This window comes from Homo sapiens, chromosome 1 (assembly GCF_000001405.40).
Source record: "Homo sapiens chromosome 1, GRCh38.p14 Primary Assembly".
Classification (NCBI taxonomy): domain Eukaryota; kingdom Metazoa; phylum Chordata; class Mammalia; order Primates; family Hominidae; genus Homo; species Homo sapiens.
The window spans coordinates 42,475,201-42,491,316 of NC_000001.11; the positions used below are offsets into that span (position 1 = coordinate 42,475,201).

A 16,116-nucleotide genomic window follows, 5' to 3' on the forward strand; every position below is an offset into this window, starting at 1 on the left:
CCAGATGCCAACACTTGAGGAAAGCTGAGTTTTCTGTTGATTTCTCAGATTATAGTCATGATAGAATGGTGATCTCTTAATTGCTCTTTCACTTCCCGGACCTTTAATATGGATTAAAATATGAGCCATGGACTAAAAGTAAGAAAATGTGTTTTTTTTAGGTGGAAAATTATGCAAACTGTATTTGTAACCTAACAGAGGGAAGAGAAGCATTTTTTCATGGTTATGATGAAAAGGAAAATGAACAGCTTAGACATGAGTTTAAAGAGCTCCAACTCAAACAGAGTTGTTTTTCCTTTTGTGGGCATGTCATTTTAAAACTTCTTCCCTAATTCTAGAAATTAACATATGACATTATAGAAAATTTGAGAAATGTATGCTCTTATAAAGAAGGGAAAAATTATATCTTCTACCCCAAGAAAAGTATAATACTTCTAATGTTTTAAGTGTATTTTCTGCCTGTCTTTTAAAAAAGTATGTATTCTGAAATAGTCTGAAATGTGTATGAGAGTGCAGGGTATTTTCTTTCAGTGTCTATTACAGCACTTACCACACTATATTATAATCAGTATCAGCTCCTCTGGAGTAGAGATCATGTCCTAGTTTTAGTGATTTGTGTCTCTCACAGTACCTGGCTTGTAAAGTACCCAGTTTAGGGGAGGCAAAACTTTACCTCTTCCTCTTTAGGTTTTTTTTTTCCCAGCTGAGCCTGAGAATTAAGTTGATATAAAACAGATTAACAGGAGAAAAGCATACACATTTATTTAAATTGGAAATAAATGGAGATGAAGACCCAAAGAAGCACTTAGAATCAATCTCTCATATACTGAATTGGACAGACAATAGTAAGCTGTGAAATGCAACTAAATATATGGAAAGGCTGAAAAGATAAGAGTTACTTTAACAAGGTCTGTAAAGAATTCTCTTGGCCTCAACTTCCCATCCTTAATCAGAAGAGTGTTGTTTTCCTTCTAGCAAAGGGAGGGCATCTTTGAACATGGGAATTTCATCTCCTGCTTTTAAGAAATGGAAGATCAGAATGATCTTGCACCTGCTGTTTTTCAAGTGTGTTTAACTCAAAATAGTCAATATACCAGAGTAGTGTATTTTTAACTCCTTCACTAGCATATTAAGGACTTAGAAAATATTAAGTACTTCAAAGCTGCAAAGGAAAATACAGATAGAACCCTTTTAGAATATTCTATATTTGTGTAGGTACACACTTAGGTGCTATTAGGCCAGCACTTTGGGAGACTGAGGTGGGCGGATCACCTGAGGTGGGGAGTTCGAGACCAGCTTGACCAACATGGAGAAACCCTGTCTCTACTAAAAATACAAAATTAGCCGGATGTGGTGGTTCATGCCTGTAATCTCAGCTACTTGGGAGACTGAGGCAGGAGAATTGCTTGAACCTGGGAGGCAGAGGTTGTGGTGAGCGGAGATTGTGCCGTTGCACTCCAGCCTGGGCAAAAGGAGTGAAACTCCTTCTCAAAAAAAAAAAAAAGATAAAAAAATTAGGTGCTGTTATTATACTTATTATTATATATGGTCAGTGATTATATTTACCACACATTTATTATTTTCTGTACTCAGCATTTTTCCTTGCATCTCAGATATTCCATTCGGGATCATTTTCCTTTTTTCCTTTTAGAAATTTCTTTTACAAGAGTTCGTTGATGGAAGTTTTTTTTTTTGTTTTTTTTTTTTGCCTAGGTGTAGAGAAAATTGAGTTAATTATAGGACATATTACTGTACTGTACCCTCATTTTTTCCTTTCTTGCTTTCTACTGGGTAGACTGAATTTTCTTCTCATGATTTAAAGTTAATATTCTATTTTTGTTTGTATAATGGTTGCATTTTAAGAGTTTTCTTTAATTCTGGCTTTTTTTTTTCCCCCCTCTACAAAGCTTCTGGAAAATTTCTTCCGGCATTTCTGGTAATTCTCAGTAGGAAGGTTGTTCAAGGGCTCTAATCTGCCACACTGCAAGAAACAGAAGATATTGTATGTCCTACTGCCAACATGTGTTTTTCTTTGTTTTGTTTTTTTGAGATGGAGTCTCACTCTTTCACCCAGGCTGGAGTGCAGTGGTGTGATCTCGGCTCACTGCAACCTCTGCCTCCCGGCTTCAAGGGATTCTCCTGCCTCAGCCTCCCTAGTAGCTGGGACTACAGATGCACGCCACCATGCCTGGCTAATTTTTGTATTTTTAGTAAAGACGGGGTTTCACCATTTTGGCCAGGATGATCTTGATCTCTTGACCTTGTGATCCACTCGCCTCAGCCTCCCAAAGTGCTGGGATTACAGGCCACGTGTTTTTGCAATATAAATTAGCTCATGATGATTGATAAATAGGAGAATGATGTCATTATAATGCAAAAGTTCATATACAGTTTTCCCTAGCATGTTAATGATTTGGACTGCCAGTAAGCCTCAGTTTGTAAATCAATCCTATGCATCCCACATTCTTCAAATTAGACTTGATCTGGACTTGCAATAAATCTGTAAACTGTGAAGGAAAGAGATAAGCCAGTGGTTGTAGTTCAGTGTGGATAGTCCTATGCTAAGGGAAGGCACAGAATACTAGGAAAATTCAGGGGAGGTGATGAGAAAGACAGGATGGGTAGGGTGACCAGAAAAGGCTTCCAAAGGAGATTGCATTGAGTTGTGTTTTGAAAGGTGCTAGCTAGATTAAGAAGCTGGGAAAGGCATTCCTGGCAAAGGGAACAGAGTTGATAATACATAGTGGTTCACGTGAGTGAATGCTAAGAAGAAATGTGGCTGGAGATATTTTCAGGAACCACGTCATGGTGAAACCGTATGCTAAACTAAGGCATTTGGATTTGACACCTGGACTATGCTTGATGTTCCTGGACTATGCTAAAAGCATACAAATATTTTTGAACATATGAATTATTGACTTTGTTATAAAATATCTGGAGAATCACTAAATAATTTTAAGAGGGCAGCTAACATGATCTGATTCATGTTTTAGAAAAATTACTCTAGCAACAGTAGAGGGATGGATTACATAGGGACCAGATTGGAAGTGGGAAACTTAGGGGTAGTTTTGCAGTAATAATCAAAGAATGAGAACGAAAACAAGGCTCAGAGTGTAAATGGTGAGGGAAGATGAACTGATTTATTAATGAAAAGGAATCTATCAAACAAATTGAGAATGGTGGGTGAAATCTTGGATGACTCTAATACCAACTACTCAATCACTTTTGGATCATAGTTTTCCAATAATGGCCAGAAAGAATTAACACAGATTCTCTGGCCGTGCACGGTGGCTCACGCCTGTAATCCCAGCACTTTGTGAGGCCAAGGCAGGTAGATTGCTAGAGCCTAGGAATTTGAGACCAGCCAGGACAAAGGGGCGAAACCCCATCTCTACAAAAAATACAAAAATTAGCCAGGCATGGTGGCATGCACTTGTAGTCTCAGTTACTCGGGAGGCAGAGGTGGGAGGATCACCTGAGCCTGGGAGGTCGAGGCTGTGGTGAGCCTTGATTGCATCACTGCACTCCAGCCTGGGGAACGGAGTGAGATCCTGTCTCAAACAACAGAATAAAACAAAACAAAAACCAAACTGCGCCCCCCCAAGATACCCATTTTATGATAAAATATAGCCTGTAACATTTGTGTTGCATTCCTAATTTGGTTAAAGCTAATATTTTGTTTTAGCTAATGTTGTAAAGAGCCTGAGCATAAAATAATCAGCAAAGTCACTTTTTTTATTTGTAGAAACTGACAAACTGATTCTAAAGTTGATGTGGACATGCAAGGTCCTAGACTAGTAAAAAAACTGAAAAAGAACAAAGTTGGAGCACTAACACTTCCTGATTTCAAGACTTAACCATAAAGCTGTAGCAATCAAGAAAATATATTCTTGGGCTGGACGCGATGTTTCGCACCTGTAATCTCAGCACTTTGGGAGGCCGAGTTGGGCGGATCACCGGAGGTCAAGAGTTCAAGACTAGCCTGGCCAACATGGTGAAACCCCATCTCTACTAAAAGTACAAAAATTAGCCGGGCGTGGTTGTGGGTGCCTGTAATCCTAGCTATTCAGGAGGCTGAGTCAGGAGAATCGCTTGAACATGGGAGGTGGAGGTTGCAGTGAGCCAAGGTTGCACCATTGCATTCCAGCCTGGGCGAAAGAGTGAGACTCCATCTCAAAAAAAGAAAATGCATTCTTGGCATTCAGATAGATCTATAGATCAATGGAACTCTCAATAGAGAGTCCAGAAATAAGCCCACAAGTACACCATCAACAGATTTTCAACAAAGGTGACAAGGTAATTCAATGAGAAAAGGATAACCTTTTCAACAAATGATGCTGGAACAATTAGATATAGACATATGCTTAAAAAAAAAAAAAAAAGCCTCCCAAATCCTGATCGAAGTTCTGTTCCCCACTGGTGAGGAATGCCTGCTCTAAATACCACAAGATGGCCAAATACATGACACCTGACACTGGAGAGAGATGAGATTGATAGCAGCTTATTAGTCAGATACACTCAGCCCATGGGAAGAGGATAGATATGCTATGCTATGCAGGGCCACAAGGGGTTACTCTCAAGAATAGAATGAACTCATAGGGAGTATGGGAGGCAGGCTTTGTAGTAACAAGAAGATGAGGTGCCTCCTGGTTCCCATGGGAAGATGTGATTGGCTTGTCTGGAAAATTCCGTGGGCTGGCAGGGAAGTGAAACTCATTAGTTTAAGGACTGTGTGGAGTACAGCTGCTCCGGCTGATAGAGGAACTGGCCAGATGGGGACTCTTTCTCTCTGGATGGGGGACATCTCTGGTGCGAGCCGAGTAACTGATGGCTAGGCTTTTTTGGGGCTTCTGTGAGACTGAAAGATGTCAAGGCAATATATGAAATTTTAGACCTTGCAATAAATTTATCTCACACCATATATAAAAATTAACTCAAATTGTTTGATAGATATGATCTGTAATTATGAAATATCTATTCATTTTCTAATGTATATAGGTAAATTTTTATAATTTTCCCCACAAAGATCTTGCACATTTTTGTTAGATTTATTCCTAGGTGCTTCATATTTTTAGATGCTATTAATAATAAATGCTATCTTTTTAAAAAAATTAATTTTCTACTAATTTGTTACTGGTATTTTAAATTATAATTATTTTTATATATTGACCTTATATCTAGCAATCTTGCTAAAATTTATCATTCATTTTTATACTTTAGTTGAAGATTTAAACATTTTCTCTTTCTTTTTCTTGTCCAGGTTGGAGTGCTGGAGTGCAGTAGCATGATCTCCGTTCACTGCAGCCTCAACCTCCTGGGCTCAAGTAATCCTCCTGTCTTGTCCTCCCAAAATGCTGGAATTACAGGTGAGCCACCACACCCAGGCAAAATGACATTTTTGTTCATGAAGACTGATTTATGTACGTTTCATTTATATATTGAATTTTGTTAAGAAGAAATTGGAACAAATCCACCAGTCTCTACAAAGAGAACATCAAGAACCTGTGTAACAGTCTAAAAAAACTGAGTGAGGTAAAAAAGAAATTATAATCCTTTACTTAATAATTGTGGCTAATTACAAATCAGCTTTCACCTTAGAAGTATTTTGTTTGAATGTATGATAATGTATAGATTCATGGCCAGATGTGGTGGCTCATGCCTATAATCCCAGCACTTTGGGAGACCAAAACTGGAGGATGACCTGAGGCCAGGAGTTCAAGACCAGCCTGGGTAACATAGTGAGACTCAGTTTCTATGAAAAATAAAAAAAAATTAGCTGGGTGTGGTGTAGTTCCAGTTACAGGGGAGGCTGAGGTGGGAGGATTGCTTGAGCCCAGGAGTTGGAGTCTGCAGTGAGCTATGGTTGCGCCACTGCACTCTAGCCTGGGTGACAAAGCATGACCTCATCTCTTAAAAAAAAAAAAAGAGTCATGCTGTAAGAATTATCAAATTATGCATAAAAGTATTTTGAACACATCACAAAAATTTGAGGAGGAAAAAATCACTCATTTGACATGATAGCTGATTTTTTATTGAATGTATCAAAATTTAAACAATCTATGTTATGTCCTTTTAAAAATCACCATGGGACTAGGCCAGGTGCAGTGGCTCATACCTGTAATCCCAGCACTTTGGGAGGCCAAGGCAGACAGATCGCCTGAGGTCAGGAGTTCAAGACCTGCCTGGCCAACATGGTGAAACCCTGTCTCTACTAAAAAATACAAAAATTAGCCAGGCATCGTGGTGCACACCTGTAATCCCAGCTACTAGGGAGACTGAGGCAGGAGAATCACTTGAATCTGGGAGGCGTAGGTTGCAGTGAGCCGAGATTATGTCATTGCACTCCAGCCTGGGCGACAGAGCAAAACCCTGTCTCAAAAAAAAAAAAAAAAAAAAAAATCACCTTGGGACTATACATATTTTTTATTTACAAATATGTTTGTAGTTCCCCTTTTAAGGAGTTCTTTAGAATATATAGCACATTATTTTAAATATATTCAGTTCTGCTCATGGAATTTAATGTTTTTGATCTAGGGAAATGTTATTAAAAGGTAAGTCTGGTGAATAAAGTGTACACTGTGAATTTAAGTATGGGAGGTAACCCAAGATTAAACTGTACATCACAGTATTATTTTCAATAGCAAAAATCAGAAGCTATCCAAATTTTTAAGTGAGTACAGAAATAATGTTATAGCCATGCTGGAACACAGTACAGCCTTTAAAAATTATCATTACAAGCTGGGTGCGGTGGCTTATGCCTGTAATCCCAGCACTTTGGAAGGCCCAGGTGGGTGGATCACGAGGTCAGGAGTTCGAGACCAGCTTGGCCAACATGGTGACATCCCATCTCTACTAAAGATACAAAAAATGAGCCAGTCGTGGTGGTGCGTGCCTAAAATCCCAGCTACTTGGGAGTCTGAGGCAGGAGAATCGCTTGAACCTGGGAGGCGGAGGTTGCAGTTGTGCCATTAGAGACTGTGCCATTGCCCTCTAGCCTGGGGGACCAGGTGAGACTCCATCTCAAAAAAAAAAAAAAAATCATTACATTAGAAAATCTGTACAGCAATTTACAGAGAAGTGTTCCTGTATAATGTTAAATTTAAAAAGCCAGACAGAAACTTGTACATGTGTTGGTATTATGACTATGTAAAAATGTATATAAATAAAAAATACTGCAAAGAAATAGAACAATACACTCATATCTCTTGGATGTTAGGTTGAACCACATGAAACCAAATATTTATAAGTAAAAGCAATCAAATATCACCAGTTTTATTTGGTTCAACCTAAGAAAGGAAATACACAGACACACACACATACACACACACACTCACACACACAAAGAAATACACATAGATATTGTTTGCTAATTTATTGGCTTTTAAACATTAATAGAAAATAGCAAAATGTCATGAGAGTACATTTGCTCTTTGTTTTATTACTAATAGAAGTTTTATTTCAGTATCATAATGAAGACCTGGAAAAAGACAAAACATCACAAAACTGCCTAGGAAGAGGAATGGAACAAGTAGCAAAGAAGTTAGGGGTGGCTCATGAAGAGATTCAAAGGCTCACTGATGAACTACAAGTGAAGGAGAAGGAACAATGTAAATTAGGTAAGCTGTGGTTTCAGATGACCATTTCCGATCATGCTTTAACTGTACTGATCTCATCTCAGGGTGGAACATGAGAAAAAAAAAAAACACTGAGAAACAAGTCTTTAAGATAAACACATAAAAGTGATGAACAGCCTCATTTTCTACCATGCTAGGAATTTTTGTCAAAGCCCAAGCATATCTACCAAAAGTGCACAACTTGTAAGTGTATACCACTCACCACAAGAAATTCCCAGCCTCTCAGAAGTCCCCTGTGTTCCTTCTTTCTATCTCTACATCCTTCCTCCTCCTTCAGAGTAACTACTGTCCTGACTGAATGCAGTTTCTGCGTTTGACTATATGCAGTATGCCTTCTATGGTTTGCTTCTCCTGCTCAGTCTTATAAGATTCATTCATTTTGTTACACGTAGCAGTTGTTTGTTCACTCTGCTGTTTATAGTATTTCATTAATAAACATACTGCAATTTATCCATTCTACTGATGGACGATTGTGTTGTCAGTTTTTGTCTATTATGAATATTGCTGCTATAAACATTTTGGTATATGTCTCAGTGTGCTTATTACACATTTCTGATTGTGGTAAGAGCAGAATTACTGAATCAAAGGGCAGGTTCTACTTTGGTCTTCCAAGGTAATTATACTAATTTAAGCTTTCCTCAGTTGTATGTGAGATTTTAGTTCCTCCACCTTGGTTTTCAATACTTGGTACTGTCAGTCTTACCAACTTCACCTTTTATGTTGAGTGTATAGTGGTATTTAAGTGTGGCTTTAACTGGTATTCCCTGACTGCTAATTAAGTTGAAGATCTTTTCATATGTTTGTTGTTGTTGTTACTCGTTTGGATATACAACTTTGTGAAGTTCCTGCTCGAGTCTGTTGTATATTTTTCTATTTTATTTATTTGTGGGAGTTCTTTATATATTGTGGATATGAGCCTTTTGTTGGTTATAAATGTTATGTTGTTGTTATTGTTTTTTTACCATAAATGCTAATATTCATCAAGTTGGGTTTAAGTGAATTATTCTTTATGCTTTCTGAGTTTTCATGTTTAAAGCCTTTTCTTCACTACAAGGTTATTGAAAATATTTACCCCTGGTTTTGGGGGGGTACTTTTATTGTTTATATTTACATCTTTGCTTTATCTAGAATTTAGTATAAAAATTTTAAATTATAATTATCTCCTTTCTATATTTTTAATCCGTGACTGATTCTTTTACAAATGCAATGTATAGGTTACTTTAGAATCATAAACATTAAAAATGTTAAATGTATAAAACAATAATGATTATGCCTGTGTGATTAAAAACAAATAATAATAAAAAAAAGAATATCAGGATGTAAATTTTTTATAAGTACATTTTAAACAGTGGACACAAATAACTTTTCAGAATGATGGAAATGTTGCATATCCCATGTGGGTTGGTGGGTATACAATTGTACATATTTGTCAGAATTCTTCAAACTATACACTTAAAAGGGTGAATTTCACTGCATGCAATTTATTCCTCAGTAAACACTATCTAAAAAGAAAATAAATTTGGTCACATGAACACGATGAGAAGCAATATTTGCTGCTTGCCATACAAGAAGAAAAAAGGAAAGCAGGATATTCAGTACCCTTAGTAGTTACATTTGGACACAACAGAACACAATCACATAGCAACCTGTTCTATCAGCAGTTGCTCTGTAGGGTAAATCCCAGACGTATCAACTGAAAGCCATCTCCACAGTGAGTCTATTAGGACTGCTGGGAAGCTGAATTAGCAAGTCCTTTTGGAATGTTGTGTGCAGTATCAGTGTGTGCGCCATCTGTAACTTCCTGAGTCATCCACTTATAGCAGAATTTGTAGCTAGGCATGTGTTATATGACAGTGTTTCCCAAGTATTAGCTTGTTTCTTTCAACAAACTCTTTAAAATAAATCCCTTTAGTTCTCTTTAGTTTATTCTTTAGCTCTCTATCACATCATAAAATTTGGATGAAAATGAAAAATTTTTTCAGTGATAATTTTTTCAAGAATAAAAAAGAATTTATATAAAATATTTGTTCCTCAACAAATGAATATCAAGAAAAAAGATGAATTTTTAAAGATTTAAGAGACTTATTAACCAATTATGATGTGTGGCCTTTATTGAATCCTGATTCAAATTTTTAACATTAATAAAACAATTTGAAATTTGAACACTTGCTAGACATATGAGTTAAAGAATTATTGTTAAATTTTTGTTAAATTAATTTTTTGTTTAAAAAGAGTTCTTATTTTTTAGAGCTGTATAGTGAAATATTCATAAGTGAATGAAATGATGTCTAGGATTTGCTTCAAAATAATACAGGTCTCTACCTTACACCTACACAAAAATTAATTCAAAATGGATCATAGAGCTAAATGTAAGTTAAAACTGTAAAACTGTTAGAAGAAAACAAGGAAAACATCTTCATGATCTTGGGTTAAGCAGTGATACATTAAATATGACACCAAAAGCAAAAATGATGAGAAAAACTAATACATTGGACTAAATCAAAATTTAAAACCTTTACAGTTCAAAACATACCATCAGAAAGTGAAAAGACAACTCATAGACTAGAAGAAAATATTTGCAAATCATGTGTTTGATATGGATCTTACATCCAGAATATGTAACAAATTCTTACAATTTAATAATTAAAAGACAGCCCAATTTAAAAATGGGCAAAAGGGCTGGGCGTGGTGACATGCACCTGTAGTCCTAGCTACTTGGAAGGCTGAGGTGGAAGGATAGCTTGAGCCCAGAAGTTTGAGGCTGTAGTAGGCGATGATTGTTCCAGCCTGGGTGACAGAGCAAGACCCTGTCTCAAAGAAAAAAGATGGGCAAAGGATTTGAAAAGACATTTCCAGGAAGAAGATATGTGAATGACCAACAAGCACATGAAAAGATGCTCAGCACCTCCCATCATAAAAATTGATAAGTATGTGAGGTGATAGATGTGTTAATTAACTTGATTTAATCACCCCACAATATAAATATATAGCAAAACATTACATTGTACCCCATAAACATATACAATTATTATTTGTCGATTAAGAAGACGATGTTCGATACCATTAGTTATTAGGGAAGTGCAAAGCAAAACCACAATGAGCGTCTACTTCATACCCACTAGAATGGCCATGCTAAAAAAGACAGACAGTGACAACTGTTGGTAAGGATGTGGAAACATTGAAACCCTTATACATTGCTAGTAAGAAGGTAAAATAGTGAAGATACTTTGGAAAACATTTAACAGTTTCTCAAAATATTAAAGGCGACCCAGAAATTCTACTCCTAGCTACCTACCCAGGAGAAATGAAAACATGTATCAACACAGACTTGTATGTAAATGTTCATAACAATATTAGTTACAGTAGCCAAGAGTTAGAAACAACCCAACTGTCTGTCAGTTGGTGAACAGATAAACAAAATGCAGTATATCCATACTGTGCAGAAAGTAGCTAACAGCACACCCGACACTGCTATTCTTAAGAAAGGACTGCTTATAACAGTCACAAGCATCTGGCTGACATCTGGGAACCTGGATTTTGGGAGGGTTTCCACCATTCCTTAACCAATAGTGGCTCACTGTGCCTAAGCTGTTTATACAATGTGGTCCATGCAGAACACCTGCTTTCCTTTAAGAGTCTTGGTATATGCTAGGCAGAAAGTGTGTGTGTGACCAGCCCTCAACAAAACCTTAGGTGGTGAGTCTTTCATGAACTTCCCAGGTAGACATTTTACATGTATTGTCACAGTTCACTGCTGGAGACATATCCTTTGTGACTCCACTGGGAGCGGACTCTTGGAAGCTTGTTCCTGGTTTCTTCTGGCCTTTGCCCTATGCATCCTTTCCCTTTGCTGATTTTGCTTTATCCTTTTGCTGTAGGAAATCTTAGCTTTGAATATGAACATATGTTGAGACTTGTGAGTCCTCTTAGCACATCACCAAACCTGGGGGTGACCTTGGGAACTCCTGACACTCATATGATAGAATACTATCTGCCAGTAAAAAGGAAGGAAGTACTTACACCTGCTACATGGATGAATCTCAAAAACAAGCTAAGTAAAAGAAGTCAGATGCAAAAGATCATATATTGTGTGATTCCATTTAGATGAAATGTACATAAAAGGCAATCCTATAGAGATAGGAAGTAGATTGGCATAGCTGGGCACAGTAGCACATGCTTATGTCCCAACTACTTGCCACTTGGAAGGCTGAGGCAGAAGAATCACCTAGCCTATGAGTTTGAGTCCAACCTGAGCAACATAGTGATGCCCTGTCTCAAAAAAAAAAAAAAAAAAAAAAAGGAAAGTAGATTAGTGGTTGTCTAGGGCTAGGTATGAAAATTGGGATTGACTAAGTGCATATGATTTTCTTAATAGGGTGATGGAAATGTTCTAAAATTAGATTGCGATGGTTGCATACCTGTAGGTATACTAAAAACCATTGAATTGTCCACTTGAAATATGTAATTTTTAAGGTATGTAAACTGTACCTCAAAGCTGTTAAAAATATAAGAACTGGGGGAAATAAGTGTATTAGGTGAAAATCTAAGGTGGCCTCCAAGAGCCCCACCCCCTGGTATACACACATATTTTCCCAGTTATTCAACCAAATACAATCTAGATGCTGCTGTGAAGAGATTTTGTAAGCGTAGTTACGGTCCCAAACCAACTGACTTTAAAGAAGGGAGATTATCTTACTTGAGCCTGATCTAATCAGGTGAGCTCTTAAAAGAGTCAAGGCATTTCCTGGCAAAAGAGATTTGAAGTGCAAGAGGGATTTAACATGAGGGAGATTCTACATTAATGACTTTGAAGAACAAATAAATAATGACTTTGAAGATGGAGGAGACCAGGTAACAAAGAATGTGGGCAGCCTCCAAGAGCCAAGAGAGACCTCCAACTGACAGTCAGTGAGGAGATGGGGACCTCAGTCTTACACCCTCAAGGACTGATTTCAGCTAACAAGCTGAATCAGATTGGAAATGGATTCTTCTCCAGAGCCTTCAGAGAGAAACACAGCCTGGCCAACACCCTGATTTCACCCTTGTAAGACTTTGATCACAGAACCCCGGCACACCATGCCCGGACTCCTGACCTAGAGAAACGTGAACTAGTAGATGGATGCTGTTGTAAGCCACTAAGTTTGTGGCAATTTGTTATACGACATTAGAAAATTAATATAATATGTAAGGGTATAAGTGAAACAAGATTGACCATAAGTTGGTAATTGTTAAAAGCTGGGTGATGGATGTAGGTATTACCATAACTCTGCCCTAGCTACTTTTGTATATATTTGAAATCTTCCATAAGTAAAAAAGTTTTTTTTTTTAAATCGATGCTAACCAGACTTAGAAAGAGACTTAGAAATAGACTAAGAAAGTAAAACTCTTAATCTGGTAGAGAGATCTCAAGAAAAGTTACAACCAATACAGTTTTAGAAATATTACTGGTTTAGGAGGACTGTTGGAAAGCTAAAATTTTCTTTTTTTTCTTTCTTTTTTTAGAGACAGGGTTTCACTCTGTTGCCCAGATTGGAGTACAGTGGCACGATCATCACTTACTCACTGAGTTCCTGGGTTCAAGTGACCCTCCTGCCTCAGTCTCATGAGTAGCTAGGACTACAGGCGTGTAGTGCCACAGTTGGCTAAGTTTTAAATCTTTTGTAGAGAAGGTGGTTTTACTTGCCCAGGCTGATCTCAAACTCCTGGCCTCAAGCAATCCTCATGCCTCAGCCTCCCAAGTGTTGTATAGGTGTGAGCCACTGTGCCCAACCCCAGAAAGCTACAGTTTTCAAGTATCTTCACAAACATGGCAGAAACTAACCTGACCATAGAAGTTAATAAATTTGGTAGTCTGATATTATCTAAATTTGGAGCAATATATTTCACTATGTGTGCTATTCCAGAAATAGTTATTTTTTTCAAATGGCAATTAAGTCAAATGTTTTCAGAACACCTGAAGTCTTCAGAACTTAGAGGTTCATAGAATACAGTTTGGAAGCCCCTGGTTCACATAATAAATTCTGAGCTCTCTTATGTAGCAAATAAGGTCTTTCTGGTTTGGCCTCTGCCTATGTATCCAGGTCATATCCCACACTGTCCTAATTCTCTGCACTACAGACCAGGCAGTATTAGACTATATGTAGTTCCAGAACTACTCAGTGTTCCCTCCTATGTCGTCTCCTTTGTTCTGTCCTACCTCCTATATTACTCGTCTTATTCCCTCTTTCCAGAATATCCTTTCCACCTGCCCTCACTTTACTTTCTCTCCTTCTTCCATAGAGGAATACATTTAGAAAACTGTTCTTTTAGTAAAAACAAAAGCTATTTTTACATCTTTGGCTCAGTGTAAACAGACTTAGGTTCACATCCCAGCCATACAGTTTACTAGTTGTGTAATGTTGAGCAACTTGCTTAACTTTTCTGAGTCTTGTTTATCTCATCTATAAAATGGAAACATGAATATCTACTTTGCAGATTTGTTATGATGGTACATATATCTGGCACTGGTAGTTACTGCTATGGTAACAGCAGTAGTAATAGTATTGCTATAGTTAGGAATGCAGTTTTAGGTGAATCTGGTGGGTTATCCTGGGATTTACTCTAAAGAACTGAGTGTTACGGATGTAATAATAAAACCTTCACAATTGTGCTGATGTGCTCACTCTGTGGTTAGAAGTGACCTGTTATAAAATTCATGTTAGTCTCTTACTTCTGGGAGGTTCTTCATTCTGATAATATAGGCGATCCACTAGCAATATCGCTGGTGATGAGGAGACCGTAGGAGACAAAGGGATAAAACCTGAAGTAGAGAGCCCAAATCCAATAGTCTTCCTAAATATCACTGTGCCATCCTTATACAATTCTTGCATAGCACCAAAAGCTATTTCCTGAAATTTTGTTATTTTGATATTTCTAGCAGCTATTGGCAAAATTCTAAATATGATTGATTGCAGGAATTATTTTTACTTATTTCTGGGTGTAATTTCTTTTTACTAAACTGGTAGTACCATACCTAAAAACTTTCAGCTTTTCCTGTTGTTTACAGTGGTTTAAATTCCTCTTCATCATGAAATCTGATGGAGGAAACTATTAAGGAAAGACAATTACAAGATCAGATAATCAGGGATAGGGCTAAATATAGGGTGCAGTAGGAACTCTAAGAGAGAAGTCTGGGAAAATTCCCTGAGGAGCTGACATTTAAGCAGAAACTCCTAGGACAGTAGCCAGGTGAAAGAAAGTGTTCCAGAGAGAGAGAGTCATTTGAAATTTGATTATTATACTAATCATTTGTTCCTTATACAAATATTTTATTTCTTTTTTTAGATTCTGCACTTAAGAAGGCTCAACTAGAAATTGACAAATTGAAGGAAAATTTGGTAAAGCTGAAAGAAAATGGTAAGTCATTCTAGAAGATATGATGATTATTATTTAGTAGCCAAGAATGGTGGTACACGCCTGCAGTCCCAAAGACTTGGGAGGCTTGGGCCCAGGAGTTGGAGGTTGCAGTGAGCCATGTCTGTGCCACTGCACTCCAGCCTGGGTGATAATGCAAGACCGCATCTCAAAAGAATAAATTTTTTAAAAAATTATTATTTAATAATAATACATTAAGAAATAATATAATATACATTAATAATATGCTTTAAAATAATATTTAGGAATTAAAATAATAAGTACTACTACTATTATTGCTGTTGCTACTACTGTTATTATTACTACTACTACTACCACTACTACTACCATTTATTGCTTACTAAGTGACAGGTACTCTGCCAGGCACTTCACATGCGTTATCTCTAATCCTCACAACAGTCTATGGCCATACCACCCTGAACACACATATCTCATCTAATCCTCATAGCAGTTCCAAGTAGTGAGTAGTAGTATCCCTATTTCTTAGATAAGCAAACTGAGTCATGGCAGAGTTAAGAGTTATCCAGTAGCTACATTAAGTATCAGAGCTGGTATTTGAATCTTTATATGTCTGACTCCCAAACCTGTGATCAATACAAATCATGCATATTTTACTGGGACCACTGACACCAATATACTTTATAATGCATTTAACAATACTTTATACATATTTGTTCACTGGAAAGCCAGTAGGCTTGAATCAGTGGTGAATTAATCTGACCCTAGCTTGCCTATATAAAAATGCTACCAGTTATCAATAATATAATGAAATTTGACTATTTTAACGGTAACAGCTAAAAAATTTTTAAATACGTTTACCAATTTTTAAATTCTAAAACTACACATAGCCTCCTTTTAAAAATGTATGAATAGAATTATAAAATGAACACTGCTTTCTTAGTAATTAATAGTACAAGTAAACAGAAAAAAATCAGTAAGGATATAAAAGTCCTAAAAATACTAGCAGTCAACATGACCTAATTGATATTTATAGAAAATTTTACCAGAATACACATTCTTTTCATATACCCATGAAACATTCACCAAGAGGGACCATCCTGGTGGAACT

General features: G+C 37.0%; 1 protein-coding gene across 10 annotated transcripts in view; it reads left to right on the top strand.

Annotated features, from left to right (window-relative positions):
- Positions 1 to 16,116, top strand: part of CCDC30 (coiled-coil domain containing 30) — a 201,084-nt gene that overhangs the window by 19,094 nt on the left and 165,874 nt on the right. For 9 of the 10 annotated variants that reach the window (NM_001355226.2, NM_001395517.1, NM_001395379.1 and 6 more), the window contains 3 exons: positions 5,261 to 5,366; positions 7,463 to 7,616; positions 14,958 to 15,029. Coding sequence is in view for 7 of the 10 variants with exons in the window: in NM_001395517.1 (NP_001382446.1) it covers positions 5,352 to 5,366; positions 7,463 to 7,616; positions 14,958 to 15,029 (241 nt within the window). In the remaining 3 variants the exon portion in view is untranslated. Of the gene's footprint in view, positions 1 to 1,907; positions 1,937 to 5,260; positions 5,367 to 7,462; positions 7,617 to 14,957; positions 15,030 to 16,116 lie in introns of all 10 variants that reach the window. The other variant, NM_001395384.1, reaches the window with a different exon arrangement.